The 27,321-nt window shown below is 48.9% G+C and overlaps 2 protein-coding genes and 1 long non-coding RNA gene across 7 annotated transcripts, besides 10 other annotated features; 1 reads left to right on the top strand and 2 right to left on the bottom strand.

Annotated features, from left to right (window-relative positions):
- Positions 1 to 181: 181 nt before the first annotated feature.
- Positions 182 to 4,404, bottom strand: CDC20 (cell division cycle 20). The gene is made up of 11 exons (NM_001255.3): positions 4,379 to 4,404; positions 3,989 to 4,218; positions 3,747 to 3,895; positions 3,564 to 3,660; positions 3,288 to 3,416; positions 2,996 to 3,192; positions 2,792 to 2,886; positions 2,424 to 2,652; positions 2,140 to 2,265; positions 1,073 to 1,190; positions 182 to 434 (listed from the first exon to the last, which is right to left on the bottom strand). The coding sequence occupies exons 2-11, from the start codon at positions 4,167 to 4,169 to the stop codon at positions 256 to 258; spliced, it is 1,500 nt and encodes a 499-aa protein (NP_001246.2). The 5' UTR covers positions 4,170 to 4,218; positions 4,379 to 4,404; the 3' UTR covers positions 182 to 255.
- Positions 4,108 to 4,616: an enhancer, noted in NCBI's record as "NANOG-H3K27ac-H3K4me1 hESC enhancer chr1:43824440-43824948 (GRCh37/hg19 assembly coordinates)". NCBI's record gives its function as "activates a minimal SCP1, AML or CMV promoter by ChIP-STARR-seq in naive H9 embryonic stem cells {active_cell/tissue: H9 hESC(naive)}" and the evidence as "EXISTENCE:reporter gene assay evidence [ECO:0000049][PMID:30033119]".
- Positions 4,108 to 4,665: a biological region, named in NCBI's record as "NANOG-H3K27ac-H3K4me1 hESC enhancer GRCh37_chr1:43824440-43824948".
- Positions 4,216 to 4,365: a silencer, noted in NCBI's record as "silent region_780". NCBI's record gives its function as "represses an Ori minimal core promoter by ATAC-STARR-seq in GM12878 lymphoblastoid cells {active_cell/tissue: GM12878}" and the evidence as "EXISTENCE:reporter gene assay evidence [ECO:0000049][PMID:35858748]".
- Positions 4,556 to 4,665: a silencer, noted in NCBI's record as "silent region_779". NCBI's record gives its function as "represses an Ori minimal core promoter by ATAC-STARR-seq in GM12878 lymphoblastoid cells {active_cell/tissue: GM12878}" and the evidence as "EXISTENCE:reporter gene assay evidence [ECO:0000049][PMID:35858748]".
- CDC20-DT (CDC20 divergent transcript) lies at positions 4,712 to 8,701 on the top strand. 5 transcript variants are annotated; one of them, NR_183649.1, is made up of 4 exons: positions 4,712 to 4,768; positions 5,277 to 5,343; positions 5,485 to 5,582; positions 8,379 to 8,701. It is a non-coding gene; the product is annotated as a CDC20 divergent transcript (long non-coding RNA). The 5 variants fall into 5 exon arrangements; NR_183650.1 differs by having other exon boundaries at positions 4,712 to 4,835; NR_183646.1 differs by having other exon boundaries at positions 4,712 to 4,966.
- Positions 4,956 to 5,015: an enhancer, noted in NCBI's record as "active region_916". NCBI's record gives its function as "activates an Ori minimal core promoter by ATAC-STARR-seq in GM12878 lymphoblastoid cells {active_cell/tissue: GM12878}" and the evidence as "EXISTENCE:reporter gene assay evidence [ECO:0000049][PMID:35858748]".
- Positions 5,127 to 5,635: an enhancer, noted in NCBI's record as "H3K27ac-H3K4me1 hESC enhancer chr1:43823421-43823929 (GRCh37/hg19 assembly coordinates)". NCBI's record gives its function as "activates a minimal SCP1, AML or CMV promoter by ChIP-STARR-seq in naive H9 embryonic stem cells {active_cell/tissue: H9 hESC(naive)}" and the evidence as "EXISTENCE:reporter gene assay evidence [ECO:0000049][PMID:30033119]".
- Positions 8,919 to 25,567, bottom strand: MPL (MPL proto-oncogene, thrombopoietin receptor). Its single transcript, NM_005373.3, has 12 exons — positions 25,458 to 25,567; positions 25,154 to 25,286; positions 24,665 to 24,843; positions 23,816 to 24,114; positions 23,259 to 23,421; positions 22,872 to 22,998; positions 16,756 to 16,940; positions 16,451 to 16,593; positions 14,383 to 14,542; positions 14,026 to 14,122; positions 11,082 to 11,169; positions 8,919 to 10,867 (listed from the first exon to the last, which is right to left on the bottom strand). The coding sequence occupies exons 1-12, from the start codon at positions 25,534 to 25,536 to the stop codon at positions 10,613 to 10,615; spliced, it is 1,908 nt and encodes a 635-aa protein (NP_005364.1). The 5' UTR covers positions 25,537 to 25,567; the 3' UTR covers positions 8,919 to 10,612.
- Positions 13,243 to 14,213: an enhancer, noted in NCBI's record as "H3K27ac hESC enhancer chr1:43814843-43815813 (GRCh37/hg19 assembly coordinates)". NCBI's record gives its function as "activates a minimal SCP1, AML or CMV promoter by ChIP-STARR-seq in primed H9 embryonic stem cells {active_cell/tissue: H9 hESC(primed)}" and the evidence as "EXISTENCE:reporter gene assay evidence [ECO:0000049][PMID:30033119]".
- Positions 14,139 to 14,348: a silencer, noted in NCBI's record as "silent region_778". NCBI's record gives its function as "represses an Ori minimal core promoter by ATAC-STARR-seq in GM12878 lymphoblastoid cells {active_cell/tissue: GM12878}" and the evidence as "EXISTENCE:reporter gene assay evidence [ECO:0000049][PMID:35858748]".
- Positions 14,139 to 15,185: a biological region, named in NCBI's record as "H3K27ac hESC enhancer GRCh37_chr1:43813871-43814842".
- Positions 14,214 to 15,185: an enhancer, noted in NCBI's record as "H3K27ac hESC enhancer chr1:43813871-43814842 (GRCh37/hg19 assembly coordinates)". NCBI's record gives its function as "activates a minimal SCP1, AML or CMV promoter by ChIP-STARR-seq in naive H9 embryonic stem cells {active_cell/tissue: H9 hESC(naive)}" and the evidence as "EXISTENCE:reporter gene assay evidence [ECO:0000049][PMID:30033119]".

The following is a 27,321-nucleotide window of genomic DNA, read 5'->3' as shown; positions in this document are numbered from 1 at the left end:
ACGTATGTGAACAGAGGAGGTGGGGGAACACAACACGCTTAGCCCTGTCCACAAACAAGAGGGATGGATGGTCCAGGCTCCCACAGGACATATCTAGCTCTCTGATCCCAGTAGAGTAGAGCCCCTAGGAAGGCTGCTGGGACATAGGTCATGAAAGAAGAAAGGCATTAGCTGAAACAGATTTAAAAAAAAAACATGAAGGGAGACATGACTTTATTAGAAAAATAAAAAACAACTGAGGTGATGGGTTGGTCTTCAGCGGATGCCTTGGTGGATGAGGCTGCTTTTGGCTGCACTGGCCTTCTCCCGCTCCCGCCGCCGCGCAGGGTCCAACTCAAAACAGCGCCATAGCCTCAGGGTCTCATCTGCTGCTGCGGATGCCACTGTGGCCCCATCTGGGCTCATGGTCAGACTCAGGACCCGGGATGTGTGACCTGGAGCAAATGAGAACAGTACATACGAATGCTGATGCAGCCATAGCCATAAAGGAGGCACTGGGCCACCCACCTACCTTTTTGTTTTTTTTGAGACTTGCTCTGTCACCCAGGCTGGAGTGCAGTGGCGCAATCTTGGCTCACTGCAAGCTCCGCCTCCTGGGTTCATGCCATTTTCCTGCCTCAGCCTCCCGAGTAGCTGGGACTACAGGTGCTTGCCACCACGCCTGGCTAATTTTTTGTGTTTTTTAGTAGAGACAGGGCTTCACCATGTTAGCCAGGATTGTCTCTATCTCCTGACCTCATGATCTGCCCGCCTCAGCCTCCCAAAGTGCTGGGATTACAGGCGTGAGCCACCGTGCCTGGCCTCCTCCCTTTTTTTTCAATGGTGTTACTGAGATATAATTCACACACCATAAAATGCATCCTTTTAAAGTGTACAGTTTAGTGATTTTTAGTATATTCACAAAATTGTACAACTGTTAAAACTAATTCTAAGACATTTTCAACATTTCCCATTACCCTCTCTCAGCCCCTGGCAACCATTAATGTGTTTTTTCTCTGGATTTGCTTATTCTGGACATTTCAGTCATACATTATGTGGCCTTTTATGTCCGGCTTTTCACCTAGCCACTTACCTTTGAGTTCAGCCACCTTGGCCATGGTTGGGTACTTCCAAATAACTAGCTGGTTCTGTGCAAAGCCATGGCCTGAGATGAGCTCCTTGTAATGGGGAGACCAGAGGATGGAGCACACCTGTGGAGAGGAGCTGGTGTGGGCATGACATATAGCCAAGGCTACTTAAATCAGAACTGAGCCCATTCTAGTGTTAGGCACCCTGCCACATGCTCCAGACTCAGAGTTGAATGATCATAGTCCATACAAAAGTTCCTTGAGAGGCAAATTATAGACACTCGCTGATGTAACCATTTTTTACCTTTACAGTGGGTTTACTGGGACTTAAATCAGGGAGCATCTGTATTATCCATTGGATAGATGAGGAATCAATCAGAAGGAAGTTCAATAGGTTGCCAAAGGTCACATTCAAGTTTAGTAGATGACAGAGCCAGAATTTTAACTTGGGCCATCTGGCTCTAGAGTCCATATCTACAGTGAAGGCTGAATGTGGGGGGAGTGGAAGGAGAGAGCCTCAAGTATCTTTCTAATGGATTTGGATTATATGCCATAAGTGATGGGAAGCCATCACAGGTTTAAGGACAGTACAGTATAACAGACCACAGCATGGAGGATGCATTGCAGGAGATAACAAAGAATGCTTGACACCAGTGAGGAAGCCATTGTAGTGGGCCTCCACTTGGAAGGATGAGGCTGAGGGGAGGGGACAGATGTCAATGATATTTTGAGGTAAAACTGATAGATCCTGGTGAGGAGGATGAAAAATTCTAGGAGGTTTCTCAGATTTCTGAGCAGGTTCTGCCATTCCAAAGCAATGTGAGACAGGAAGGAACACATTTCAGGGAGGCAAGGGGAAGTGACAAGGTTAATTTGGGACAGATCAAGGTGGTGGTGCCTATAGGACATAGGATTGGAGATAGCCACAGACTGTTGGAAATGAAGCTCATGAGTGAGAGCTGAGTTAGAAGTTTGGGAATCACCAGGGCATAGAGTTGGTGAAGCCATTGGAGTGAATGTAGTTGCCCGGTAAGAATGCATGTGGGAGAGGCAGGAACAGGCAAAAGATTACCTGGGAATGGGCATCCACGGCACTCAGACAGGCCCCAGAGCACACATTCCAGATGCGAATGTGTCGATCACTGGTGCCCCCTCCTGTTGCCAGGACATTGGACTGCCAGGGACACCATGCTACGGCCTAGATGGAATAAAGGTGGGGTCAGCAGGTACTAGAGCCAGACAAGGAGCTCTAGGGGTCACAGATTAACCCAGTCCAATCCTACCATCCCTTCTCCCCTTAACAGTCCCCAGATTATAGGTGAGGGTCTGCAGAGGCTTCAGCCCAACCCTACTCACCTTGACAGCCCCTTGATGCTGGGTGAATGTCTGCAGAGGAACCCAGCCACCCTCTCCAGGAGCACTAGGCCACACATTGACCAAGTTATCATTACCACCACTGGCCAAATGTCGTCCATCTGGGGCCCAGCGCAGCCCACACACTTCCTGGCTGTGGCCACTCAGTGTGGCCACATGGTGTTCTGCTACCCGAACATCATGGTGGTGGATGTGGCCAGAACGTGAACCACTGGAGGAGGAAAGAAGGGAATCAGGTTCTGTGGCAGCACCAAATGCAAGCAAGCCAGAGCTGGTTCAGTTCAGGGGTGTACAGTCAAGGGGAGGGTGGGCAAATATCAGACTACCATAGACCAACAAAAACCACTGACCTGGACAGGATATAGCTGTTCCAGCTTAGGGAGCCCACTCGGGCAGAGTGACTGGTCATATTTCGAAGCCGTTTCTGCTGCTGCACATCCCATAGCTAGAGAGAGAAGCCCACTAGGATCAGAGATTGGGACTTGGCATTAATATCCTCCAGCTGTGCAAGCCCATTGGGACTGGTGAGAATGACAGCACTGGACACGTCTCACCTGCACCTCAGCACTGCTGGTGCCCACAGCCAAGTAGTTGCCCTCTTTGATCCAGGCCACAGAGGATATATATTCCCCAGGCTGCTCCATTTGCAAAAGCTGCAGGATGTCACCAGAGCTTGCACTCCACAGGTACACACTGTTGTCCAGTGCCACGGCCAGTACATTCCCAGAACTCCAATCCACAAGGTTCAGGTCTGTCAGAGGTGGAGAGAAGAGCATGAGCTTCCTTGTTTGTGTGGTCCCAGGCCCTCTTTCTCCATGCATGAGGCGAGGATAAGGATGCACTTACAATAGTCATTTCGGATTTCAGGCGCATCCAGGATACGGTCTGGCAGGGAAGGAATGTAACGGCAGGTCTTCCGGCTGGAGCCAGGAGTGGCCTTTTGGCTGTAGAGTACTTTCAGTCTGTTCTGATAACCTGTGGCAACGGAGTGAGTCTAGACGCTGGGAAAATCAACACCTCCCTTGCCCTCAATCTTAGATAGGAAGAGGAGACAGATATCTGTGCTCAGCCCTGGAGATGAACTGACACCTCCCTCCAGGAACCAGGAACTTCGGGTCTTACCCTCTGGCGCATTTTGTGGTTTTCCACTGAGCCGAAGGATCTTGGCTTCCTCTACATCAAAACCGTTCAGGTTCAAAGCCCAGGCTTTCTGATGTTCCTGGCATAAAGGGTAGTGAAGGAGCAAGATGGTATTATCCAAAGAACAGTCAGGTCCCGTGCCTTAAGCCCCTCTGGGACACATACCTTCTTGGTGGGCGTCTGGCTGTTTTCAGGCTGGTTCTCCTTGCTCAGGAGGAAGCTGGCCACCTCCATCTGGGCAGCACTGCGATGGGGGATATAGCGGTCACCGCCAGGTTTGCTAGGAGTGGTCTGAACCTTGGAACTGGATTTGCCTGGGGCGGAGAAAGAGAAGACAGTCTGACCAGGCTCCCCAGGGAGAAAGTATGAAGGCTGCTCTCACTCAGTTCCTTTGGCACCTCACTGACCAGGAGTTCGGCCCGGAGTCCTGCCGGCGCTGTGGGATCGGTTGGCGGCCCGCATGGGTGAGGGGGCCGGGCCTGCGGCTTCCTTGGCTTTGCGCTGCCAGCGCGCAGGGGGTGCATTGGGGATGGGTGCATCCAGCTGAAGCAGCGAGTGCAGGTCACTCTCGAACGCGAACTGTGCCATGGGAGCGCCCGCAGGGGGAGGGGTCCTTGCAGTTGGTGCCTACGGAGCCCTGGAGGAAAGGAGGCGACGGTGCTCAGGGGACAGAAAGGGACCCCTTCGCTCCTGGCCGGCCACAAAATCAGGGCCACCCTCGGCTGCAGCCCCTTCCGGCCTAGCACCCCCTCCCCCTGGCCACGGCCCCACCTCGGCTCAGCCCCACCACCTCTCACCGTGCCCTCCGGAGCAGTTCCGACCGGCTTTAACACGCCTGGCTTACGCCTCTTAAACTCTCCGCTCCGAGCGCCTATTGGCTCCTTCAAAATCCAACCGTCGCAACCGTTGCCCTAGCCCATTGGCCTCTCCGGCGAAGGGGGCGGGCCTTCCGGGGAAAGTCTCAGCTATCACGAGAGTCTAGCGGCGGAGCGCGATTTGAAGGGTACGAGAGGGGCTGGGAGCCGGCGCCAGAGGACTAGTACTGGAAAGCCGGCCGGGACAGGGCGGGGCAGGGCGGGGCCGGGTGGGGCCTGCGCTGCCTCAGCGTCCTGGAGTCGTCTCGGTTCGCCCTTTTGCGTGCCTTCCACCGCCGCGAGCTCGGAATGTCTGGCCCCGGGTGCTTCAGGGTCCGAGAACCTGCAGAAGTTCACACTTAAATCCTACACGAGAGTCGTATTTATGATGCAGAACTCGGTGCAGAACCCGATGGAGTGCCCAAGGCGCTTGAGCCGTTCCTAGAAGGGGAAGGAGAGCCGCGGGCGGCAGCGGGGCAGGGGACGGAATTGGGAAGCTTGGGAGCAGGAAGAAGGCCAGAGCTACTTAGGGTACATTCCACTTTTGCTTGGCGCCGGGTAGGAACCCTGCTAGAAAGGAAGTAACGTGTGTTTGTCTCGTTTGCTGTTGTTTTACAAACAGGGAAAATGAGGTTGAAAAGGGTGAATGAATTCCTTAAGGTCAAGAAAAAGGATCGGTATTCAAACCTGCCTATCTGGAAGATAAGCTTAGACTGCCCTACAGGAGGCACTGTGGCTTATCCCCTTGGGGCTTTAAAGATGTGAGGACCTTAGAGATCCATTAGTCTAACCTGTGCGTGGTGCAGCCTCCCCACCCCGACAACAAATCCATATTTTACAGATGGAGAAACGGAGGCCCAGGGAAGGGATGTGCCCGAGGTCATACAAAGAAGTTTGTGGGAATCCAGGTCTGACTCGCACTCAATCTAGTGCTCTAATAATGACTTGAGTGAATTGTATGAATGTGCTCAGAGGTGGAGCAGCAATCATAAAAGTAATAATGGTACCATTTATGGACCATCTAACTACTGTGTTAAAACAATTTACAGGCCATGCGCGGTGGCTCACGCTTGTAATCCCAGCACTTTGGGAGGCCGAGGCGGGCAGATCACGAAGTCAGAAGATCGAGACCATCCTGGCTAACACGGTGAAACCCCGTCTTTACTAAAAATACAAAAAATTAGCCGGGCTTGGTGGCGGGCGCCTGTAGTTCCAGCTACTCGAGAGGCTGAGGCAGGAGAATGGCGTGAACCCGGGAGGCGGAGCTTGCAGTGAGCCGAGATCGAGCCACTGCACTCCAGCCTGGGCAACAGAGCGATACTCTGTCTGAAAAAAAAAAAAAAAGTTTACATACATTATCGAGTTCAATCCTTAATCCCATAAGGCAGATAGATACCCCATCTTCCCTTTACAGAAAAAAGAAACTGGGTCAGAAAGATTAGAAACTTGCCCAAAGGCATGCAGCCAATAATAAGTAGGGGAGCCCAGGATTCAAACTATCTGACTAATCCCTGCAATCTAAACAATACGCTATACTGTCCCAGAAAGAGGCTGGAAAAATCATTTTCAGTCATTAGCTTAAAGTCCACTCCGATGCTTACAGATAATGTTATTATCTTTGACTTGAAGCCTTTGCATTCTCTATTTCCAATTACCTTGGAAAATAAGGAATTGGATATGCTTAGGTTAGAGGTGGGGAATTCCCAGAAAACATAGAAAAGGTTGTCTCATGTCAAGTTGGTCAGGGTCTTAAATGTTAAGCTAAAGACTTTGGACTTCATCTGCTAGGCATTGTGGTACCTGTGGGGTTTCTGTGTAGGGAAGGACCAAATAAAACATCTGAGGGGGGGGATATGGCAATAATTTGCAACTTCTGGTGGTAGCTATAGAGAAGGATAAAGGGTATAGCCTCAGGGAATTTGTACATTTAAAAATAAAGGATTTGGGCAGGTTGTCATGGTTCACTCCTGTAATCCCAGCACTTTGGGAGGCCAAGGCGGGCAGATCACTTGAAGTCAGTAGTTCAAGACTAGTCGGGCCAATGTGGCGAAACCCTGTCTCTACTAGAAGTACAAAATTAGCCAGGTGTGGTGGTGCACACCTGTAATCCCAGCTACCTGGGAGGCTGAGGCAGGGGAATCGCTTGAACCTGGGAGGCGCAGGTTGTAGTGAGCGAGGTCGCGCCACTGCACTCTAGCCTGGGTGACAGAGGGAGACTTTGTCTCAAAATAATAATAATAATAAATGAATGAAGGAAGGCAATGGAAATTATCCAGACATGGATCTTGAAGTGGGAGATACCCTAATATATGTAGTCAAGTGGAATGATGACAGAAAGGGTCAGATTTGGCCATTGAAAATCAAATTACCGATGACTTTGGAGAGAGCAGGATCAGGAAAGTGGGTGCTTGAGATCCATTTTGGAGGAGTTGCGGAAAGAATGAAATAGGGAGAACGGGAAGCCGGCAAGTATAGGTGACTTGTGTAGCCCATCCCCTGATATCCTCTATATTCGTTTGCTAGAGTTACTGTAACAAAGTACCACAAACTGGCTTAAATGACAGAAATTGGTTGTCTCACAATTCTGGAGGTTAGAAGTTCCAGATCAAGGTGTCATGAGAGTTGTGTGAGAACCGTGAGGAAGAATCTGTTCCATGCCTCTCTCCTGGCTTCTGGTGGTGGTTTGCCGGCAATCTTTGTCATTCCTTGGCTTATAGAAGAATCGCCCTGTTCTCTGCCTTCATCTTCACTTGGCTTTCTTTCTGTGTGTATGTGTGTCCAATTTTCTCTTTTTATAAGAATACCAATCATATTGAACTAGGGCCCTGACCTCATCTTAACTAATTATATCTGCAATGACCCTATTTCCTAATAAGGTCGTATTTGAAGTACTGGGAGTTAAGACTTCAACATCTGGCTGGGTGTGGTGGCTTACACTTGTAATCCCAGCACTTTGGAAGGCCAAGGCCAGAGGATTGCTTGAGCTCATGAGTTTGGGACCAGTCTGGGCAACATAGTATCACCTTGTCTCTAAAAAAAATACAGAAAACAGGCCTGCGCGGTGGCTCACACCTGTAATCCCAGCACTTTGGGAGGCTGAGGCGGGCGGATCACTAGGTCAGGAGATCGAGACCATCCTGGCTAACGCGGTGAAACCCTGTCCTGCGAAAAATATAAAAAAAATTCGCCGGGCATGGTGGCGGGCGCCTGTAGTCTCAGCTACTCGGGAGGCTGAGGCAGGAGAATGGCGTGAACTCGGGAGGTGGAGCTTGCAGTAGGCCGAGATCGCGCCACTGCACTCCAGCCTGGGCGACAGAGCAAGATTCCATCTCAAAAAAAAATAATAATAATACAGAAAACATTAGCCAAGCTAGTGGTGCACACCTGTAATTCCAGTAGTCCCAGCTACTTGGGAGGCTGAGGTGGGAGGATCGCTTGAGACCAGGAGTTTGAGGCTGCAGTGAGCCGTGACCACACCACTGCATTCCAGCCTGGGCGACAGAGTGAAGACCCTGTCTCAAAAAAAAAAAAAAAAACAAAAAAACTTTTATCTTTTTTTGTGGTGTGGTCTTGGCTCACTGCAACCTCTGCCTCCCGGTTTCAAGTCATTCTTGTGCCTCAGCCTCCCAAGTAGCTGGGATTTCAGGTGTGTGCCACCGGGCCCGGCCAAAAAAAAAAAAAAAAGGACTTTAACATGTGAATTTGAGGGAGAGGAGAGGAATAGAATTCAATCCATAATATCCTCCTACTGTTGGAACCCAAGCAGAAACCAAAGCCCAGGAGAATGCTTGGATGCCAGCCATATGAATCAGCCTTGCTAAGCATAGGACAAGATGGAGAAGGATGGAGAATAGGTCTGGGTGGGACAAATGGATGACATCCAGTATACCCAATCTCCATAATTCCTCCCCAGCCACATGAAAGGCTCTGACTTTACTCCTAGGGACTCAAGACTGGAATGGGAAGAGCATGAAATTGAGCTGTCTATCCCCCTGGATCTCTCATTGCCACCTGCCCATAGGTTGGCTGCACCCCTCCACCAAAGAAAGGCCATGACTCCTTCCTGGCAGCCCTGTCTTACAGCTACTCTCTGGTGATCTGGGAACCACTCCCTCCCTTACCCCTTGATGCCTAGGGCTAGTGCCAGCACCTTGTTGTTGTTAGCCTCAGAGGCACTTGCACTGTTCCTTGATGGTTTTCCCAAATCTTGCCCTCATCTTTGTAAATACTGTTTGCCGTTTATTACACTGTCATCATATTACCCAATTTGAGTGTGTCATCTATTTCTTCCAAGACCCTGACTGATACAGTGGGTATATTTGGAGCCAGAAAAAACAATGACAACAAAACCATTTGTTTGAGAATTAGAATGTGTTAGGAGAGTCCATAATCAGAACTGTCTGAGCACATTTACTGCTGCCTATGAACGGTTTAGAGGATGAGGACAGCTGGCATGGGATTAAGGTAACCTTGTCCAGAAAGATTTCATTCATTTAGAAAAAATTTATTGAAGGCCTACTATCATGCACCAAGCACTACTCTAGGTGCTGGGGGAAAAGGACAAATAAATCATGTTCCTTTCCCTCAAGGAGCTCACAATCTAGTAGCAGGGGACAGATATGTAAACAGTTAGTTGCATAAAGCATCACAGTGCTGTAGTAGATGTCTGAGCTAGAGATAAGAACTTTGGAATGGTCAACATATAGTAAAGGCAGAGAATAGATGGGATTGGAGACTGTTAAGAAATGGAATCTTGAAGGACTGTAATAATTGGAAGAAATGCTAGAAGAGGAGAGTAAGAAGGAATAATTATAACAGTAGTTCGGATATATGAATCATTTACTATGTCCTAGGGACTGTGCTTTACTTAGATTATCTCAATCCTCGTCACAACTCTATGGGGTGCTGTTATTATCCCTGTTTTACAGATGAAAAAACTAAGGCTCAAAGACATTAAGTTATGTGCCCAAGGTTGCACAGCTAGTAAATGTGAAGGACAGGAATTGAATCCAGCTCTGATTCTAGATCTAGTTTATTCTCTTAACTACTAGTACACTCAGCCGGGCGCAGTGGCTCATGCCTGTAATCCTAACACTTTGGGAGGCCAAGGTGGGTGGATCACCCGAGGTTAGGAGTTCAAGACCAGCCTGGGCAACATGGCAAAACCCTGTCTCTACTAAAAATATGAAAATTAGCTGGGGCTGTGCGCAGTGGGTCACACCTGTAATCCCAGCACTTTGGGAGGCAGAGGCAGGCGGATCACGAGATCAGGATATCGAGACCATCCTGGCCAACGTGGTGAAAACCGGTCTCTCCTAAAAATAGAAAAAAATTAGGCATGGTGGCAGACGCCTGTACTCCCAGCTACTTGGGAGGCTGAGGCAGAATGGCTTGAACCCGGGAGGCAGAGGTTGCAGTGAGCCGAGATCGTGCCACTGCACTCCAGTCTGGCAACAGAGCAAGGCTCCGTCTAAAAAAAAAAAAAAAAAAAAAAAAAAAAAATTAGCTGTGTGTGGTGGTGTGCGCCTGTAATCCCAGCTACTAGGGAGGCCGAGGCACAAGAATCGCTTGAACCCGGAGGTGGAGGTTGCAGTGAGCTGAGATCGCGCCATTGCACTGCAGCCTGGGTGACAGAGTGAGACCCTGTCTCAAACAAATAAAAAAAACCTACTAATATACTCAAAGAGGCAGGACCAAGGTAGGAAAGAATTTAAAGGAGAAGTGAGTAGTCAGCCTTGACAAATCTTACAGCGAGATCAAAGGAACTGATGATTAACGAGATCCTATTGGATCTTGGAATTAGAAGATTTGAGGTGCACTTTGCCTGGGCAGTTTCACTAGCAAAGTGTAGTAGGGGAACTAATTGAAGTAGTCTCAAGAGTAAATGGGAAGTGTGGGGAAGTGGAGGCTTGTTTTCAAGGCGTTTGACATCAAAGAGGAGAGAGAAAGTAAAGGAGGAGCTTAGTGAAATGAGCCTGCCTGTGGAGAAAGGGTCCTGGTTTTATGTCAGCAGCAGTAGAGTAAGATCAGTGCAATGAAGCCTAATTGTGAGGGCAGACAGAGGGGGATGGAGGTGAGGTCTGGGGTGCTTGTGTTGTGGGGGTAGGGTAGGGAAGTTCACAGAGAAGTCTCGAGAGTTTAGCTCTGTCCAGGGAACTGGGAGTGAGGAGCCTGTCCTCAAGGCTGCTGCCAATAGCTTAGTGGTAGGTAGGAATGGTTGGCAATGTGGGTGGTACAGCAGGACCCTGACTCAGCCATGGGTGGGCACACAGACAGGGGCATGGTCCCCAGGCAAGAAGGCTGCAATCTTCGGTAGTCCATCTGGGCCTGGGAGGAACACAGGGGCAAAGGAGTCCTCTCTGAGGACTTGGGGAGGATTTCAAGGAGGCTGGGTTCCACTTCTTCACAGGTATCTGAGACTGTGGCCTTGGGCTGGGAGAGATGAGGAGAGGCGCTGGATTAAAGCAGATCCTGTGGGAGGAGGGGCTGGACTGTACAGGAAGGAGAAGGGCTGGGGTAGTGCTGGGGTAGTGCCTGGGGATGGCACACTGGTAGGGCAAGGACCTTGAACAAGTTGTATTGTTGGGGCAAGGATCCAGTACCAGGCAGGGTTGGTGGTGGGCACAGGGGAGGGAAGCACACTCACCGGGCTCAGGGCTGCAGTGTCCCTAAGGTACTGGCCTAGGACCCGGTGCAGGTCTGGAAGTGAGGGCCACAGGGCATGCCTCAGTCTCCTGGGGGAGAAGGAAGAGAAGCAGACTGAGCCATGGCAGTGGATTGGCAGGGAGGAGGACAGCAGTTGGGGTGGGGGAGCAGTGAGGCCGGGGAGTAAGGCTTGGAGATATAAGAGCATGGTCAAGGCAATAAAGTTGGGCAGGGGAGTAGAGTAAGAAGAAAACCTCAGGTAGGGGAGGGAAGTCAGTGGTGGGCAGGTTCAACAAAGGGTGCTGCAGTTTCCTCAAACACTCCAATGTTTGTTCTGTCTGGAACACTGGATTCATTCCCTCACCTCATTGTAGGCCTCTGTTCAAATGTCATCCCTGACTACCTTGCCTGAAACACAGTAGTCCCTCTTTATCTGCAGGGGATATGTTTCAAGACTCCCAGCAGATGTTTTTTCTATACGTACATACCTACAATAAAGTTTATAAATTAGGCACAGTAAGAGATTAATAATGACTACTAATAAAATAGAACAATTAGAACAATATGCCAACATCACTACTCTTGTACTTTGGGGCCATTATTAACTAAAATGAGGGTTACTTGAACACAGCTCTGCAATACCTCAACGAGTCAATCTGATAAGCAAGATGGCTGCTAAGTGACTATGGGGCAGGGAGCATATACAGCGTGGAGATGCTGGACAAAGGGATGATTTACATCCCGGGTGGGACAGAGCGGCATGGCAAGTGATTTCATCGTGCTACTTACAATTTAAAATACATGAATTGTTTATTTCTGGAATTTTCCATGTAATTTTTTTCAGACCTTAATTGACTGCGTGTAACTGAAACCACAAAAAGTGAAACTGTGGATAAGAGGGGACCACTGTAGTGCTGCTTCCTTTCCCCATGACAGGCTATCTCCTGCTGTACTTCATTTTTCCTTATAGTATTTGACTTGTTGTACATTTATTACATTGTTATGTATATTTCTTTTTGTCTGTCTCACCCCACTAGAACATATGGTCCCCGAGAAAAGAGAGTTTGTCTATTTATTCACTCCTGTATTTCTAGGGTGTAGAATAGTGTCTGACCCATAGTAGGTGCTCAGTAAATTAGCTGAATGAATGAATGAAGAAAATCAGTGGAGCTTATTAGTAAGTTACTGGAGAGGGTAGTCTATCTGGGAAGAATATGGATTAAGATGTATTGGAGGGGCCTCCATTTTTTTGTTGTTTTGTTTTGTTTTGTTTTGTTTTGTTTTGTTTTGTTTTTGAGATGGAGTCTCCCTCTGTGGCCCAGGCTGGAGTGCAGTGGCGCGGTCTTGGCTCACTGCAAGCTCCGCCTCTCAGGTTCACACCATTCTCCTGCCTCAGCCTCCTGAGTAGCTGGGACTACAGGCGCCCACCACCATGCCTGGCTAATTTTTTTTGTATTTTTAGTAGAGATGGGGTTTCACTGTGTTAGCCAGGATGGTCTTGATCTCCTGACCTTGTGATCTGCCCACCTCGGCCTCCCAAAGTGCTGGGATTACAGGCGTGAGCCACCGCACCCGGCCAGAACCTGGATTCTTTAGCTTCATATTTCCATGTGGAGGGACGTCAGTAGAACATTTCAGGCCGCTTCAGTGACCTCACTCATATCTCTCCAGGGGAGAAGGTGTGACTTACCTGGTAAATTGGGGAAAAGAAACTGAGTATGCCTGGCTCAGCAGACCACCTCCTCCTACTTCTCCAACTTTTTTGTTGGATCTGGCTACCTGCATGGAGGCTACCTTTCAGTCTGCTCATACGTATGGGCAGATTAAAAGTTCAAAGAGAGGTATGTTCAGAGGGAGATGGTAGCCCATGAGAGTGGCACCTGAACCAGCCCAGGACCATCAGAAGACACCATCTGGAGGAGATGACTTCTGAGCTAAGTCTTAAAGAAGCAGCAGATGAAGGATGGAGGTGGGATGCATTCTACCCTTCATGTTTATAGCCTCCAATGGCATTTCTCCTCAGCCTTCGTCTTCCCACATAAATGAGTCACTCATTAATAACATTTATTTAAGGGCCTGCTTTTTGGCAGGCACTGTGCTAAGGATTTAAAGATGACCAAGTAAGGTATAATAGGGAAGATATATAAAGAAATAAACACAGTAAAACACTACTGGTACTGTATTGGAGCACAGAGCAGCGGCCAAAAGGGGGAGGGTCAGGAAAGGTTTCTTAAGAGTTGGTGAAGAAAGTTATTTACAGATGAATGGGTTTAGTGAGACAGGGAGGCTATTTCAGGCAGAGCGGACGTTATGTGCAAAGGCACTGAGAAGTAAAACCTGACTTGTGGAGAAAACCAGTTTGGAAAGGCTGATGCACAGGGTAGAACAGGCTGAAGTGCTTGCTGGCAGGGGCCGATTTTGCAGAGCCTCGCTTGTCATCATAGGGAGCCTGGACTATATCCTGGGAGCTATTGAAAGGATTTAAGGAGGGAATTGATAGGTTCATGTGCGCATTTTAGAAAGATTATTCTGGTGGCTGTGTGAGGCTAGATCGGAGGGGCAAGAGGTTCTGTTTCAGTGAGTCAGGTCGTGTCTGTAGGGCTAGAGAAAGGGGGCCATTGTTTGGACTAGGTTTAGGAGGTGGGACCTGACGGCAGATTGGATGGGGGTGGAGTGGGCAGTTTGGCTGAAGGGTGGACGGTGGCCTAGTCGCCGAGGTGAGCAGCAGGAGGCGGGGCTGTTCGAGGTGGGCGGTATAGTGGGCGTGTTAGAGTGTAAGGAGCCGCGGCGAGTCCCAGAGGTGACGTGCAGGAAGTGGCGAAGCCGTAGGTGCGCACGGGCGGTGGACGGAGATCTGGGGTCACAGAGCGAACCAAGAATGCCTGTTTACAGGCCTTCGGCTCCACCTGGTCCACCGCCAGTCTCCTGCCTGGCGGGGGCGGTACCTGTAGTGTGCAGGAAACTGCCACCTCAGCAGCAGCAGGCCCAGGACGGCGCTGAGGCCCAGCACTAGATGCAGAGCGGTCACCAAGGAGATCCAGGCTAGGAGACAAAAAGGGTCAGACTTCGGCCCACCCGGGCCGGAGCCCCGCCCTCATCCAGCCAGCCCCTACTCTGGCCCCGCCCCTCGCCGCCCCTGGGCACTGCGGGCACCTGCGCAGCCGTCGGCCCGCAAGGTCAGGGCCCCGCCCCTCTCCGCGCCCCGCGCCTCGCCCCTCTCCGAGCCCCGCCCCACTCGCACCCGGCGCCCAGTCCCTGGCGCAGGCGCTGTGCGGCTTTGGTGCGGCCGGGGCTTGCCTCACCGGTCTCGGTGGCGGTCTCCACCCTAGTTGGGTCCGACCACGAGCTCCAGGGACCTTGGTAGGTGGGGCCGTTGAGCCTGGCGCGCAGCTGTAAACGGTAGCGAGATCGCGGGCGCAGCTCCAGGGTCCCTCCTCGGGCCCCGAGAGGCGGCTCCAGCACCTGAGCAAAGAAGCGTGCGGTGGCCCGGCGTCGGGGCTTCGATAGCCCAGCGTCTGTTTGACCCAAATCCTGCAGCTCCGAATCCCCAGGCGGTCGGAGATTCCCACAAAGAGCCCCACCGGCAGAAAACACGCTTCCCAGCAACAGGATAGAGCGCCCTAACCGAGAGCCTCTCCCTAACGGGATCACGCTCTGCCCGAGAGAAACGTGCCAGGCCCACCTCCTGAGACACAGACCTCACCTCAGAGAGCTACGTATCCTAACACCAACACCCAGGTACACCCTCGGCAGGGATCCCGGTACACGCACACCCTACCGGGTGTTCTCACAACTCCAGGTCGGGCGATGGACACCCCCAGAAACAGATATATTCAGAGCCACACAGACCATGCCACAAATAATACTCATGCTGCAGAGGATGCCAGATTTGCGTTAGGCGCTGGGGTACAAGCATCATGTGTACAAGCAGGAAGGCAGCAAACATTTATGAACTGTGTGATACTCCAAACATTGGGTTAGGCACTGGGGAGAAAGCAATAAAACACCGTCTCTTACATATCTAATGAGAAAGACATCCAAACAGGTAAATAATCACAACAATTAATTAGTGCAAGGCACCACGGAAGTCCAGAGAAGCATTTAATGCTTGGTTTTGTGCCACAGAGTAGTTTAGTGTGCTAAAAGCATGGATGACACGGCTGGATGGTCACAGATGAGTCTAAGGCAATCCTGGTAGGAATTTGAGGACTATTAGTACGTTATTGCCATCAACTTAGTTGATGAGTAAGGGGAAGGGATAAGGGAAGAGCAAGAAGAGTCAAGGGTGCTTCTAGGCTTGGGTACTGGGTAAGTAGCGGTGCCATTGTCAGAGACAGGACACAGAAGAGAAGTAAGTTTGAGGAAGATATACTTTAGGGTTCCATTTTATAGAGTTCAACAACAGTCCAAATGAATCAATGGTAATGTCAGGATGGTGATTACCTTTGGTGGCGGGGGATGTGTCGGAGCATTGGGAGCTTCTGAGGTGCTGGAAATAATTTATATCTTGATCCTGGTTATGGTTATGTGGATGTATACACAAGTACAGACTATATATGTAAAATTTGTACACTTTGTTGTATGTAAGTTTTATCACAATAAAAAAGTAAAGCTTCAGGAGGAAGAGGAGTTCCATTCTGGATAGACTGAGTCTGAAATGTCCAGGGGGAGGAAGTTTTGGTAGAACCATAAGATGTTGTACATAGTTGTATATATGTGTGGCAAATGAGAATAAAAGTAGACAAACTAATATTTAAGTAATGTATATTGAGCACCTTCCTTATGCCAGGCAGTATGCTAGGTATTTAGATATAGTATTTAATCTTTACTATAACTCCATAAGGTAGATAGCTTCATCCTCATTTCACCAATGAGGAAACAGACTTCAAACATTTTGGTAATTTGCCTGTGGTTTGTAAATTCCTTTCCATATGGGAGTTAGAATGGTAAAATTGCGATTGTTAATGTATGGACATTGAAACCATGGAGTTAAAGCACTCACCTGGGGAGAACATATTTATTTTATCAGAGGAGAAAAGAGCCTAGGATGAGACTCTAGGAAGCACAGCATTTTGTGGAAGGCTGGAAAGGAGGAGCCAGGAGAGGAGAGTGAGAAAGTTCAGTCAGAGAGGTAGGAGGAAAATCGGGGAAGACTGATATCCCAAAGACAAAGGGAAGAGAAATGTTAAGTAGGAGTAGCCAGAAATATCAGATGCCCAAGAGAGACTAAGATACCAGTTGAATCTGATAAACATAGATATACTAGCAGAGACTGGATACATAGACACTTTCACTCCTGCTAACAGGCATGGCCAACCCCAGGGATCCCCTGCGTAGTGAGGTCTGTGGGCATTTGTTGCTTGACCATACCTTCCAGTCCTGATGGCCTTCTCCTGTGTATCGGAGTTGATAACAGGTCTCTTGGGCTGCCCAGGACGATGGGTGCTGCCACTCCAATTCCAGATGCCCACTGGAGATCTCCCTCCAGTGCAAGTTTGGGGTGGGGAGGCGCACTACAGGGATGTCAGCAGGGAGCAGCTTAAGTCCTTCTGTGCACAAGGCATTGTGCCACCAGAGCCATCGGTCAGAAGGGTCAGAGTTGGGGATCCTGGGCACAGGGTCAGATTCAGTGGGGGTGGGAACTATGTGGGAAGAATGAGGAAGAAAGTTCTTACCAGCCTGGTGGATCCAGAAAGGGGAGCCCAGGTAGCTGTGAACAGTACCCGGGGCTGTGGTCACCTCCACAAGGATGTGAATAATGCTGTCATTTCGTGACTTGAAGTGGCAGCGAGAGAACTGTGGGGTCTGTAGTCCTGGATTTGTTTTCTCTTCCTCTTCGCAGTTCTCCCAGATGGGGTACCTAAGACCCAGCCCCACAGAGTCATTGAATCAGGCCTGCCCCAGAGACTAATCCCAAGGCTTCCCATCCTACAAGAACGATGGCCTGCAGGGATTATCATTTAACTCCTTCCTTCCAGGGGCCTCCAGAGCTTTCCCTCTGTCTTTATGCCATGATGTTTTCTTTTTGTTTTTTCCTTTGTTCATTTGTTCGTTTGTTTTTGCTATTTTGCCATGATGTTTTCTGAAGTCAGCTTTGTTGTCTGGCCTCTTCCCTTTGAGGAAAGACCTGGCATGATATGTGAAAACAGCATGGGTTTTCACCAAGAGTTGAGGTCTTGGCTTACCTTTGTGTAACTTTGGGCAAATTACTTGGTTTATCTCTGCTCCAGTTTCCTTCTATTTGTAAAATGGGTTAATGATACCAACCTCACAGGATTGTTTCAAAGATTAAAGAACCCTCATCTTTCTGGAGAAAAATATCCTCTATTTTTAACGTGTTCTCATACGTCATTCCTCCTACTCTCCCCTATGTGTTATTTTGCTATTAGATTATGACAATAGTCTCCTAACTGGCTTTTCTGCTTCTGTTTTTGCCACTACCTTCAAGTTGTTCTCCACACAGCTACCAGAATTTGTTTCCAAAAATGTTGATGTGATAATGTCCAGAATATAATGTCACAAACTATTGATTTTGATCTTTACCACTGCTATGTTAGATGAAGCCACTATCATTCCTTGCTTGGATTAAGGCAAATTTCTGACTGGTGATTCTGCTTCTACTCTTATTTATTTATTCACAGAGAAACATATCTTTTAAAAATGTAAGTCAAATTGTCATTGTTTACTGCTTAAAATCCTTCAGTGGCTCTTCATCCCACTTGGAATAAAACCCAAACCCCTTACCAGGCCTACAGGACTCTGTGATTTGGTTTCTCCTTGCCTTGCCATTCTCATCTCTTATGATTCTCATGCCAGTTTATCACCCTTCATCCGCACAGGCCTTCTTTCTGTGCCATAGATATGCCAAATGTGCTATCTTTGCACTTTGCCTTTGCCCTGGATTGCTCTGACTGTAGGTCTTCATGTGACTCATTCCTTCTTGCCATTTAGATCTCGGCTTATCTGTCACCTCCCTGGTGAGGCTTTTCCTGGCCACTCAGTCTAAATTAGCAACACCCACCCCCCACCCACCACACGCCCCCCTTTAGTCTCTATTATAACTTTGTTCCTTTATTTCTTTACTTACTTTTCTCCCCCTCCTTTTCCCCTCCCCTCTACTAATGTAAGCCCCAACAATGCTGGAACCCTTTCCACTTTATTTATTTTTAAAAATGTTTTGAGACAGTCTTGCTTTGTTGCCCAGGCTGGAGTGCAATGGTACGATCTCAGCTCACTGCAGCCTCTGCCTCTTGGGTCCAAGCGATTCTCCTGCCTCAGCCTCCTGAGTAGCTGGGATTACAGGCACCCACCACCACACCTGACTAATTTCTGTATTTTTAGTAGAGATGGCGTTTCGCCATGTTGGCCAGGCTGGTCTCGAACTCCTGACCTCAAGTGATCTGCCCACCTTGGCCTCCCAAAGTGCTGGGATTACAGGTGTGAGCCACCGAGCCTGGCCCCTTTTCCATTTTATTTGTTGCACTATTTATCCCCAGTACCTTGCAAAAAGTCACTCTCAATAATTCTTTATTGAACAATTGAATCATGTCTCCCTCTTGATTATAACCCCTAAGTGGCTCACCGTCACTAAAATGGGTATGTTTACCCATTTAATCAACAAATAATTGATACTATGTGCCAATTGGTACTGTGCCAGGCCCTATGAGTGCATAGAGGAATAAGGTTCAAAGAGCTCTAATTTCAGTGGGAAAGACAGAAAAACAAACATGATATTTTTCTGTGATGTGCATAGACTGGCTTGGGAGCATCAAAGGGGAGCATCCAACCCAGACTGGGAGGGTCAGGGAATGCTTCCTGGATACGGCGATGTTTAGACTGAGTTTTGAACTAAAAATAGGATAGGCAAAAGGGACAAACAGGCATCCCAGGCACATGGTTGTGCATAGATAAGAGAGTGTGGTGCTTTGGGGGAAATTCTAAGTGGTGCAGATGGTTTTCGCATAAAGGGCCTGGTGGTAGGTGGTAAATGTGAGACTGCAGACCATGTCATGGATGGCCTTATGGCCTTTCTGGGGAGCTTGAACTTGAATTACTACTAACCTTGTGGTAGTTATGTAGACATTTAAGGATTTTAAGCAGGGAAGTGCCATAGCTACCTTTGTACTTTAGGAAGATCATTCTAACTACAGTCTGTAGAAAGGATTTGTGAGGGCCGACTAGAAGCAGAGAAATCCATTATGACATTCTTGTAGTTTTTCATGTGCAAAGTGATGAGGATGTGAAAATAGGGTAGCAGCAGTGAGAGACAGGGAAAGAGATGATTGAAGAGATATTGAAAAGGTAAAAATGACAAGACTATTTCTGGTTAGGCCTGGAGGGTATTGGAATGGGAGAAGTCCAGGATGATTTCTATTTTTCAGTCCAGGAAAACTGAATTCATGGTAGGATCGGAGACAATAAAGAAAAAGCAAGTTTTTTTTTTCTTTTTTTTTGAGACAGAGTCTTCTCTCTGTTGCCCAGGCTGGAGTGCAGGGGCACGATTTCAGCTCACTGCAACCTCCGCTTCCCGGGTTCAAGCATTTCTCCTGCCTCAGCCTCCCAAGAAGCTGGGACTACAGGCGCGTGCCACCACACCCGACTAATTTTTGTATTTTTAGTAATGATGAGGTTTCACCATGTTGGCCAGGCTGGTTTCCAACTGCTGACCTCAGGTGATCCACCCACCTCGGCCTCCCAAAGTGCTGGGATTACAGGTGTGAGCCACTGTGCCCAGCAGGAAAAGCAAGTTTTGATAGAGGAAATGATGACTTCAGTTTTGCTACCCTTTAGTCCACTCAGGCATCTCAATCCTATGGATATGTATGCAGTTATTAAAAAGAATGAGTTACATCTTTTTGTAATGATCTCTGAGACATGTTTTTAAGCAAAAAGGTGAGTCAACAAACCATATATGTAATGTAATCCAATTTATATTTAAAAATTAAATATTAGGCTGGGTGTGGTGGCTCATACCTGTAATCCCAGCACTTTGGGAGGCTGAGGTGGGTGGATCACTTGAGGTCAAGAGTTCGAGACCAGCCTGGCTAACATGATGAAACCTCGTCTCTACTAAAAATACAAAAAATTAGCTGGGCATGGTGTCGCACATCTATAATCCCAGCTACTCGGGGGGCTGAGGCAGGAGAATCGATTGAACCCTGGAGGCGGAGGTTGCAGTGAGCTGAGATCACACCACTGCACTCCAGCCTGGGCAACAGAGCAAGACTCCATCTCAAAAAAAAAAAAAATATTACATGTTAGGCTGGGCGTGGTAGAGGGGCTGAGATGGGAGGATTGCTTGAGCTCAGGAGTTTGAGACCAGTCTGGGCAACATAGGGAGACCTTGTCTCTACTTAAAAAAAAAAAAAAAGAAAGAAAGAAAGAAAGAAAGAAAATGCCTGTAGTCCTAGCTAATCAGGAGGCTCAGGTGGGAGGATCGTTTGAGTCTGGGAGGTCGAGGCTGCAGTGAGCCATAATCATGCCACTGCACTCCAGCCTGGACAACAGAGCAAGACCCTATCTCAAAAATAATAAAATTTAAATGTTGTATAGAGATGTATGTAAATACATAGAAAAAAACTGGAAGAATACATTTAAATAGTTAATAGTGTTCAACAATTTTTTACCAGGCACCTACTATTGGTAGGTGAGAATATATTGGTGAATAAAAACCCATTGATCTTGCCCTCATGGATCATATGTGGTCAAGATCAGCCTTTCTCAACTGGAGTTCTGAGAGATTTGTTTTTTTTGAGACAAAGTCTTGATCTGTTGCCCAGGCTGGAGTGCAGTGGTGCAATCATAGCTCACTGTAACCTCAAACTCCTAGGCTCATGCCATCCTCCCACCTTAGCCTCCCAAGTAGCTAGGAATACAGGTGCCACCATGCCTGGCTAATTAAAGAAATTTTGTAGAGACGAAGTCTCACTATGTTGTCTAGGCTGGTCTCAAACTCCTGGCCTCAAGTGATCTTCTCACCTTAGTCTCCCAAAGTGCTGGGATTACAGGTGTGAGCCACTGGGCCTGGCCAGATTTTTATTATCAACCAAATAATCATATAAACTATAAATATGAAAGTATGACTATGATAAGTACTTAAGAAGGAGAGGTACGGCCAGGCATGGTGGCTCACGCCTGTAATCCCGGCACTTTGGGAGGCCGAGGTGGGTGGATCACGAGGTCAGATCGAGACTATCCTGGCTAACACTTACAGTGAAACCCCATCTCTACTAAAAATACAAAAAATTAGCCAGGCGTGGTGGCGGGCACCTGTAGTCCCAGCTACTTGGGAGGCTGAGGCAGGAGAATGGCATGAACCCGGGAGGCGGGGCTTGCGGTGAGCCGAGATGGCACCACTGCCCTCCAGCCTGGGCGACAGAGTGAGACTCTGTCTCAAAAAGAAAAAAAAAAGAAAAAAAAAAAGAAGAAGAAGAAGCGGTACATGGTACAACAAGAATGTATATTAGTGCTATTGGACTTAATAAAGAAGGCCAGGGGAGGGTCCCTAAGAAAGTGACGCTTGAGTTGAGATTTGGAGGATAAGTAGAAGTTAAGTAAAGGCAGTAGGGCTGGGTAAACAGCAGTGTAAAGACCTAGAAGCAGAAGGGAATATGCCAGATATGAGGGGACCACAGAAGCCCTGTGCTGGAGCATGGGGATCAAAGGGCAGCATAGCACAAGATGAAGCTGAAGAAGTACGTAGGGGCTGAGTCTCAGAACTTTTCAAGTCCATGGTAGAGGTTTTTTTCTTTATCCTAAGACTAGTGGGAAGCTATTGAAGATTTTTAAGCAGGGAGTGTTACATTCATTTTTGCACTTTTAAAAGGTCCCTTCAGGCTAGGTGCGGTGGCTCACACCTGTAATCCCAGCACTTTGGGAGGCCAAGGCAGGTGGATCACCTGAGGTCAGGAGTTCGAGACCAGCCTGACCAACATGGTGAAGCCCCCTCTCTACTAAATACAAAAATAATTAATGGGGTATGGTGGCACATGCCTGTAATCCCAGCTCCTTGGGAGGCTGAGGCAGGAGAATCCCTTGATCCCGGGAGGTGGAGGTTGCAGTGAGCCAAGATTGCACTATTGCATTCCAGCCTGGGCAACAGAGCCAGACTGTCTCAAAACAAAACAAAATGAAAAGATCCCTTCAGCACCTATGTGAAGAATTACTTGGAAGACTCAGGGTGATCAGTTACTATGTCTTTTCAGTAGCCCAAGAGAGAATTAATGATGGGTTGTAGTAGGATAATGGCAGTGATAGACAAGTGGGCAGATTCTAGAGATAGTTAATAGGTAAAATCAATACAACTTGGTTATAGATTTAGATATGGAGAGGATGAAGAATCAATGAGGTGCTTGGTGGAAGTCTTTGAAGGCCAGGCTAAATTTTTTATGGCTTTGATAATGAGAAATTGCAGTACATGTTTGAGTAAGGGGAGACTATGCAAAGTTAGAGCTTTACAAAGGTCATGCACAGTTTGAGCTTAACAAAGATCACTCTGTTAGCAGCATGGGGAATACATTGGAGGTGAATTAGACTGTAGGATGTTGCAATGGTCCCAGTGACATGATTAAGGCTAAACTAAACCAAAGCATTCCCAATGGGAACAGAGAGGGGTTGAGAAGATAAAATATCGATTGGAGGATGACAGAATAGATAAGAGAGCATTGAAAGCTGTATGGTTTGGAGACAAAGGAAGGAGAGTGAAGAGGACCAAGAACACTCTCTTCTTTTTTTCTGCAAGATTGTGGCTCACTCCCATGACACCAACCTCAATCAGCAGTTCAGCTCTCACCTGTCTCTGGGGCAGCACCGTGCCCTGCTGTGGTAGAAGAAGCCTTGGGAGCTAGCATGGTCCTGTTGCTGCCATTGACAGGTAACATTCTTCAGGTCCAAGGTAAAGCATTGCAGTCCAAGTGCCACTAAAGTCAAAGAAGTAAGTCCCATCAGGGCCCGTGTGCCCCTACTGTATAGGGTGTTCAGATTTCAGATAATTTCTACACATATAACTTAGAACATTGACTCCTATTCTCTCTTCTTTCCCTGAACATAGTTCCTGTCCAGTGGCAAGTTCGAGATCATCAGGAAGGACCATGGTTCCCAGAGCTTCAGATCTAGCCCAGGCTTCCCTAGAGATATTCTTTTATCTCCTCCCCATCTCCCTATTCCTTTGTTGACTCACCTGCATCTCCAGGCAGGTCCACAGTCACAGGGAGGGACCAGGATCCCCAGGAGCCACCGAGGGAGATCCCATCAGGTTCGCTGCGCAGCTGCAGCCAGTAGGAGTTGCCAGGCTGGAGTCCTGAGATGAGGCAGCTTCCACCCTCTGCTGTCAGAGCTGAAGCCTTGGGAGGAAAATCCCAGCTTCACAATCTAGGTCTGCCTGTCAGCTGAGAGAGCCTCCAACCCTTATATTTGCACAGCATCTCTGTGGAGAGGAGCTCAGCTCCTTGCTGGATAGATATGCACACAGACCAGGGGCTAAGTTGGTGGGTTTCAGGTGGTGTTCAGGGTTTTGTTGCGAAATCTCCATTAATTTGGAGGCCTGAAAGCCTTTGCTTTTGTCAGTGGGAATGACCCAAAGTAGGAAGCCCCTAAGTAGGCGTGGCTCATATCTGAGCCTATACTAACTCTCCAAGGACGAACCTAGGTCTGGAATCCCCAAAGTATGGTCTGTCCTTTCCTGGGGCAAGATTGAAGGTAGGAGATAAGAGGTGGGGCAGAAGAAGGTCAGCATACTTCTCTACTTGGGGAGGTCTGCTTTGGTCCATCTTGCCAGGGCATTGTGGGCTGAGCACATGGAGACTGGTCCAGAGCAGAGGCTGAGTGAGGCCTCTGCAGAGCAGGGCAGCAGGTTTCTGTGGCAATCAGCTGTATGACCGTGGGACCAGTGGAGTTCTTGGGATCTCTGGGGCCATAGCGGAGTTCGTACCTCAGGAAATCACTGATTTCTGGAGCTGGCTCCTCCCAGCTGATCTGAAGTTCCCCTGGCTGGCTCCCACCCATGGCCTTGATGATACTGGGGGGAGCCGGCAGGCCTGAGGGCAAGACAGGGCACATCAGAACTCTGAGTACCACAGTCTATGGCTCAGCCTCTGGACTGCAGAGAGGGGTGCTGGGGGCTGAATTGGGGCAGCTTCTGGATTCAAAAATTGTAGGCTGTCATTCTCCTGGAGGGCAGGCTAGGGAGGCTCCTGATTCTGTTCTTCTCTCATGAGAACAGTGACTTCTTTGCAGTATGATGGCTTGCTAGACTCAGTGCTTCTTGTAAGCAGGGATCCCTTTTTCTCTCCATATCCCCATCACCTAGCCCAGTGTCTGGCACACAGTAGGTATTCTGTAACTCTTGAATGGATGAATAAATGATTTGTTGACGATGGGAGGAACAGGGTGTGAATGATCTGTTGGGCATTTCTAGCTCTAGATGCCAAGGCTGGGAGGAATGACAAGGGAGTCTTGGGGTGCCTCAGGGGGTCTGGTAATAGGGGTATCCGTGCTGAGCTGGAAGGGCACAGGCAAGTCTGATTCCGGGAGCTGGACTGGGGGCAGCAAGTGGAGGGGGCAGGGTGACAGGAGGATGGCTCTTACCTACACTGTCCACAAAGAGGACTCGCTGAGTCCGAGTCTGGTTTAGGAACACATTCTTCACCCAGAGGTGCAGCGGAAAGAAGAGACGCACTTCCTCCTGGTCTGGAAACTGGCACACGTATCGGGTTCCAAAGTGGGGCATGCTCTGGGAACTCAGGGGGCAAGCACGGGGCTTCTCCCTGTTGGCATAGAAGAGGTCCCTCCTACACAGCCACCATGCGGAGCCCTGAGGACCCAGACCTGGGCCCATGCCCAACTTCTGTCTCTAGTACTGCCATTTTTCTTCTCACTGCCTGGGATAGGTGGGATTAGGGGTTATGTAGGGCTGGAGCTGGGGCCCACATACATCCAAAGCACATCTGTTCAAAAAGTAGGTACTTAGGGCTTGTATTCAGAGTGGTCCTCGGACAGGCAGGAAAGCTGCTGGAGTGGGACTCAGCTAAGTGCAGGGACAGATACATGGGGAGTGGGGCACAGTCCAGCACCTACCGCGGGTAGGCATACAGCAGCTGGTATGTCCCACTGGGCGCTGCCTCTTCCTCATCCCAGAAGCAAGTGAGGTCCTCAAATGTTCGGGAGAAACACTTCAGGGGCTCTGAGTCTGATGCCAGCAAGGAGACATCTAAGGAACAGCTGGTGAGTTGGCCCTGGGTCCTCCCAGGCATGTTTATGTGGAAGGGGAGGGGACCAGCAGGAGAGCCTCTTACTCTACCTCCCCTCCCGGGGCCCTGCATCACCTCCCAGGGCTCCCTCTTCCTGGGCATAGGTGATCTCCACCCTCTGTGCACCTCACCTTGGCTGCTGACTTGGGCCAGGTTTTGAGGGGCCAGGAGGAGGCAGGAGGTGACCATGAAGAGGGCCCAGGAGGGCATCTTCTCCGCCACTGTGTGCCTGCCTTAGCCCATCCTCCCTTCAGGAAGCTGGGCCCCAATCCCCTCCCAGGCCAGCCCCTCAGGTTCCTGTCAGATACAGCCCCACGTCCTGTCCCTGTCCCTGCCCCTCTGGGGCCCATCCAGACCACACTGGGGCCAGGGGCCAGGGGAGGGGGAGTGGGCAGGAGGGAAGGAGGAATTTGAAAGAGAGGACACAGGCCTTTTGGTGTGAGGGAGATGGGGGTTGTATATTTGACCGTGTACCAAAAGGCAACTCAGCCTCTGTATCTGTGCTAACGATTATAGAATGGTATAATAGCATCAGAATAGCAACTTTTACTGAGCACTTACTATGCTGCCGTGTGTTAAGCACTTTATATCCATTCACTTAGACAATCCGCACAATAGTCTTGTTATTTCCATTATAGAGATGAGGAAACGGAGATACAGAGAAGTTAAAGATTTGCCCAAGATTACATACTAAGACATAAAGCTCAGGAGGTCAACCTTCAGAACCCACCTGCATAACAGCCATGCTGTGCTATGCTCTTGGGAGGCTAATCTGCTGAGAAATAACTCTCTGCCCCACAACCATGCCAAATGGTGGGTATTTCCACTTTAATAGTTCTGTGACTTTGCGCATGAATAAACACATTCTCCCTGGAACTGGAAATGCCCTCTCCATTATGGGTGGCCTCCACGGCTGCCTCTAATCCCTTGCTACTCAAAATGTGGTCTGTAGACCAGGAGCAACAGCATTAGGTGGGCACTTATTAGAAATGCAGAATCTTAGGCCCCACCCCAGGCCTATTAAAGTTGAACCTGCATTTTGCCAAAATCCCCAGATGGTTTGAATGTAACTTAAAGTTGGAGAAGCAATGGTCTTCAGTACTTTTATCCTGTTTGCTCAGATTGGAGATGGCTCACACTCCTTACCCTGCCCCCTTGTCTTGTATCCAATAAATAACTGCGCAGCCTGGCATTCGGGGCCACTACTGGTTTCCGCGTCTTGGTGGTAGTGGTCCCCTGGACCCAGCTGTCTTTTCTTTTATCTCTTTGTCTTGTGTCTTTATTTCTATGATCTCTCGTCTTTGCACACAGGGAGAAAAACCCACTGACCCTGTGGAGCTGGCCCCTACAAAAATAGAACCTGCATTTTACCAAAATCCCTAGATGGTTTGAATGTAACTTAAAGTTGGAGAAGCAATGGTCTTCAGTACTTTTATCCTGTTTGCTCTGAATCAGTGGATGGGGCTGGGTGCAGTGGCTCACACCTATAATACCAGCACTTTGGGAGGCCGAGCTGGGTGGATCATCTGAGGTCAGGAGTTTGAGACCAGCCTGGCCAGTATGGTGAAACCCTGTCTCTACTAAAAATACAAAAAAATTAGCTAGGCGTGGTAGTGCTTGCCTGTAGTCCCAGCGACTCAGAAGGCTGAGGCATGAGAATCTCTTAAACCCAGGGGGCAGAGGTTGCAGTGACCCAAGATTGCACCACGGTACGCCAGCCTGGGTGACAGGGCAAGACTCTGTCTCAAAAAAAAAAAAAAAAAAATTCAGTGGATGGCTGGTCTCAGCTCTTCAGCCTGTGCTCATCTCCTGTCACTGAACCCCAAGCCTCCTCCTGGGACTGCTCTGTATGTGGATTTTATGCCAATTCTAGGAGGCTTGACTCTTGTGTGGGTGGAGGTGGGGACAGGAGGTGAGTTGTGGGGAGGGTGCATAGCCACATCAACTCCCATTTTTAGCCCCTCAGGCCTCAGCTAGGGCTCCCATTGCTGGCTG

Source organism: Homo sapiens, chromosome 1 (assembly GCF_000001405.40).
Source record: "Homo sapiens chromosome 1, GRCh38.p14 Primary Assembly".
Lineage (NCBI taxonomy): Eukaryota > Metazoa > Chordata > Mammalia > Primates > Hominidae > Homo > Homo sapiens.
Note: the sequence above shows the minus strand (reverse complement) of the source record. Positions and strands in the feature narration are given on the sequence as shown.

Coding starts and splice junctions, on each gene's coding strand:
- MPL (NM_005373.3), bottom strand. CDS start 25,536: ATGCCCTCCTGGGCCCTCTTCATGGTCACCTCCTGCCTCCTCCTGGCC. Junction 22,999..23,258: donor GGACCTGCCTGGAGATGCAG/GTGAGTCAACAA, acceptor CTTTGACTTTAG/TGGCACTTGGACTGCAATGC. Junction 14,123..14,382: donor GGAGACCGCCACCGAGACCG/GTGAGGCAAGCC, acceptor TTTGTCTCCTAG/CCTGGATCTCCTTGGTGACC.
- CDC20 (NM_001255.3), bottom strand. CDS start 4,169: ATGGCACAGTTCGCGTTCGAGAGTGACCTGCACTCGCTGCTTCAGCTG. Junction 3,896..3,988: donor GACTCCGGGCCGAACTCCTG/GTCAGTGAGGTG, acceptor TCTCCGCCCCAG/GCAAATCCAGTTCCAAGGTT. Junction 2,653..2,791: donor AACAGCTATATCCTGTCCAG/GTCAGTGGTTTT, acceptor TTCCTCCTCCAG/TGGTTCACGTTCTGGCCACA.